Below are 4,114 nucleotides of genomic sequence, written 5' to 3'. Positions count from 1 at the left end.
CTGAGAGGTTGTTCCAGCCCTGCCCAGGCAGCATCTCCAGGCAGAGGCGCATTCCTTTCTTAGGGCTGCTGTGGCAAATGACCGCACGCTGGGCGGCCTCAAACCACACAAATCCCTGCTCTCGCAGCTCCAGAGACTGGAAGTCAAAGCCACAGTGTCGGCCGCTCTGTGGGTCCTGTGGGGATCCTTGGGTGTCCTCCTGCCTCTCCTGGTTTCTGGCGGCTGCCGCTGTCCTGGGCGGTCCTGGTGGTGGCCACCTCGCTCCAGTCTCTGCCTCCATCTGTGCTCGGCCTCCCTGGACCTGTGTCACCTCCTTTTCTCCTAAGGACCCACTCACTGGATCCACGCCCACTCTCAGCCAATATAACCTTAATGCTGCCAATTACACCTGCCAAGGCCCCGCTTCCGAACACGCTCACGTCCCACAGGCACACTGGGGTGAGGACCCTGGCACACAGCAGCACCCAGCCATGCCCACCTGGCAAGCAGAACAGAAGACGCCCCCACTGCTGCATGAGGGCTGAACCGGCCCCGTTAGCTGCCGCGGTGCGGGGGACCTGGCGTGGGGACCGGCTGTGTCCTTGGCCCACCGGGCAGGACCCCCTTACCACTGCCTTGCAGACAGACTCCAGCCTATGGGTTGCTGGCAGCCTGCGGGGCTGGGGCCTGTCACCACGGCAACAGGGGAGCTCCCCACACCGCCTGAGCGCTGTCAGGGCCTGGAGCAGCTCCAGCAACAGAACTCCAGCCACGAATCCGAGCTACATGTGCAACTGCGAACGTTCTGGTGTCCACAGCGAAGAAGGTGAAATAGAAGACGTGAAATTCAAATTCATGCTAATATTTCACTTCACCCAGTTTATCCACAATATTATCGTGGCAGCGTGCAGTCAATATAAAAATAATGAATGAGATGCTTACATTCTTTACCTAACAGCTCTACTGAGATGTGATTCACACAGCACGCCACCCAGCCACGGAAGCACGCAGCTCGAGGGGCCTTTGCCGTATTCGCAGGGCTGTGCGAACGTCTTCACTGTCGCTTTCAGAACATTTTTATCAGCGCAAAGGGAGTCCCCCCCAAACCACCAGGCACTCCCACCACTCCCCAGCCCCCGCCAACCAATGGGCTCCGTTCTGTCTCCGGACTTTCCTTCTCTGCACCTGTCGTGTAAATGGAGTCACAATGTGCGTCCTTTTGTGTCTGGCTCGTGTCATCGTGCGCCGTGTTTCCGGGACTCATCTGTGGGGTGTCTGTACGTCTTTCCCTTTTATGGCTGCATGATATAGCCAGCCGGCCGCGTCCGTGAACTCCACTTTTGGGGATTCAACCAACCTCAGATGGAAAATATATCTTTTAGTGGAGGGCTGCGTCTGTGCTGAACACGGACAGACATTTTTGTTGTTGCTCTTCCCCAAGCCACACGGTGTGAGAACGGCTTCTGCGCGTGTGCCTGGCATTGGGGTCAGCAGGGACTGCAGATGATGTAAAGTTACACCCTGTTTCATGTGCGGACACCGCACGCTCCACACCAGGGACCTCAGCACCCTCCACATCAGGGACCTCAGCACCCTTCACACCAGGGACCTCAGCACCCTCCACACCAGGGACCTCAGCACCCTCCACACCGGGGACCTCAGCACCCTCCACACCGGGGACCTCAGCACCCTCCAAGCCGGGGACCTCAGCACCCTCCACACCGGGGACCTCAGCACCCTCCAAGCCGGGGACCTCAGCATCCTCCACACCTGGGACCTCAGCACCCTCCAAGCCGGGGACCTCAGCACCCTCCACACCAGGGACCTCAGCACCCTCCAAGCCGGGGACCTCAGCACCCTCCACACCTGGGACCTCAGCACCCTCCAAGCCGGGGACCTCAGCACCCTCCACGCCGGGGACCTCAGCACCCTCCAAGCCGGGGACCTCAGCACCCTCCAAGCCGGGGACCTCAGCACCCTCCAAGCCGGGGACCTCAGCACCCTCCAAGCCGGGGACCTCAGCACCCGCGGACCCTGGTGTCCTCTGGGGTTTGGAACGACCCCTCACGGATACTGAGGGACGATGGCTGCCGCCGTATGTCCTTTTGCGTTTGGCACTTCACGGAGTTGCCGGCCGGCCACGTTCCCGGGTCTCAGCATCACAGTGGAGCTGGAGCCGTGTGAACACCCAGGCAGGATGGGGCTCCGGCCCAAGCCTCAGCAGGCGATGGCTGACCCCGGCAGTACCTTGAAGAGATTGTGTTGCAGCCAGGAAGAGTCAAAGGCTCTGGCTTCCAAGAAGAAAGAAAGGGTGCTCCCTCCAGAGATGTTTTCTAACCGGCTACTCAAGTATAGTTTTTTTTTTTTTTTTTTTTTTTAGATGGAGTCTCGCTCTGTCGCCCAGGCTGGAGTGCAGTGGCGCAATCTCGGCTCACTGCACGCTCCGCCTCCCAGGTTCAAGCAATTCTCCTGCCTCAGCCTCCCAAGTAGCTGGAATTACAGGCGCCCGCCACCACGCCCGGCTAATTTTTGTATTTTCAGTAGAGACAGGGAGGTTTCACCATGTTGGCCAGGCTGGTCTCAAACTCCTGACCTCAGGCAATACGCCCACCTCGGCCTCCCAAAGTGCTGGGATTACAGGTATGAGCCACCGTGCCTGGCCTTGTGTGTGGTTTTCTAAACAGAATGGGCTGTAAGTTTTTGGGGAAGCATGGGAGGAAACATTCCGGATCTTCTGGGGTGGAATAAGCACCGGCCGCGCTAGCTGCCGTGGTGCAGGGCCCGGCGTGGGGACTGGCTGCGTCCTTGGCCCGCCCCATCTGCCCTCGCTGTCCCCTCCCTGAGTGCCTTCTGTGCTGAGCAGTGGCCATCTCCATGGTGACGACAGGGCAAAGGCAACCTTCTCAGGGATATCAGGCGTCCAGGCCTGGGAGCCACTGTCAGCTGAGCCCCACCTGTGACGGGACAATGTCACCTATCGGGTGGTGCCCGCTCCTCTCCCGGGGCCCTGCCAGGGAGCAAAGAAGGGGCAGCGGTGGGAGTCAGGCCAGAGCCACGTCTCCACCGACAATGGCTGGCAGCCATGCATTGCCTCCTCTGAGCCCGCAGCCGGACCCCCAGAACATGAAGGCCTTGAGGAATTACCACGTCCCCGACCCCCAACAACGTGTGCGGCTGCTGGTGGGGGCCAGCCCGGGGCAGGAGCTGACTGTGCTGACATTCCCACAGTCCTTTTAGATTGTAGATGTCGCCTCCTTTACAGACAAGGAAACTGAGGCATGGAGGAACAGACCATTATTCAGGGTCACCCTTGCCTGAAAGGGCAGGGAGGGGGCTTCCCCACTCCGACTTCACAAGTGTGACGGTTTGTCATGCATGGGGTGCCTGGAGGGCCTGAACCCCGAGGGCCCTCCTCCTGCTGCCATGGCCAGAGTGGACTGGCCGGACAGCCAGGCTTGGGAAAGTCAGGTGCTCTTTTCAGCCTCTGTTCATGGTTAGAGGAACCTACGCTTTGGAGCCGGGAGGACTTAGATCCTGAGACTAGGATTAGCTCCAGGGACTTGGAGATTTCTGACCACCCCAGCTGGGTCCCAGACGCACCTTCCTCCGAGGCTGCCTCCCTCAAGGGCCACCCAACCAAGGGGACGCCACCCGGAAGAGGAGAAGGAGCCAGGACCCTGGGACGCGGGGAGATTGTGCTCTGGAGATAGACGTGGGTGGAGAACGTGCCTGGCAGCGCCAGCCTAAACATGCAACCGACCGCCTCCTAAACCTGTCCAGCAGACCTCAGAGCAAAAGCCCACACCAGCCACATGGGTGCCAGGAGCCCCAACCCCGACTTCTCTGGAGGGGCCGTAACTCCAACCAGCAAAGGCCTTTCTTACTGGAAGCTGCGGCGTCTTGCTGTGACCTGAGGGACCAGGGGAGCCGATTTGATGTCGAAGATCCTTTCTCCTGCCCTGGCCCTGACGCTTCCCCTGCCTTTCACAGACGGGAAACTGAGGCACAGAGGCCTGGACGCTGCCCCAGGGTCTCCCCAGCCCGGTATCGTGGGGCTGGGACTTGGACCCAGGGTTTTCCCAGCCAGGTCTTCTTTGCCTGCTAATTAATATTCGTAACACCAGTGGTGCGGCGC

At 60.0% G+C, this 4,114-nt stretch overlaps 2 annotated features.

Moving 5' to 3' along the window:
* Positions 1,324-1,837: an enhancer, noted in NCBI's record as "H3K27ac-H3K4me1 hESC enhancer chr16:1075412-1075925 (GRCh37/hg19 assembly coordinates)". NCBI's record gives its function as "activates a minimal SCP1, AML or CMV promoter by ChIP-STARR-seq in naive H9 embryonic stem cells {active_cell/tissue: H9 hESC(naive)}" and the evidence as "EXISTENCE:reporter gene assay evidence [ECO:0000049][PMID:30033119]".
* Positions 1,838-2,352: an enhancer, noted in NCBI's record as "H3K27ac-H3K4me1 hESC enhancer chr16:1074897-1075411 (GRCh37/hg19 assembly coordinates)". NCBI's record gives its function as "activates a minimal SCP1, AML or CMV promoter by ChIP-STARR-seq in naive H9 embryonic stem cells {active_cell/tissue: H9 hESC(naive)}" and the evidence as "EXISTENCE:reporter gene assay evidence [ECO:0000049][PMID:30033119]".

This window comes from Homo sapiens, chromosome 16, assembly GCF_000001405.40.
Source record: "Homo sapiens chromosome 16, GRCh38.p14 Primary Assembly".
NCBI classification, from domain to species: Eukaryota; Metazoa; Chordata; class Mammalia; order Primates; family Hominidae; genus Homo; species Homo sapiens.
This window is presented reverse-complemented; position numbering and strand designations above follow the sequence as displayed.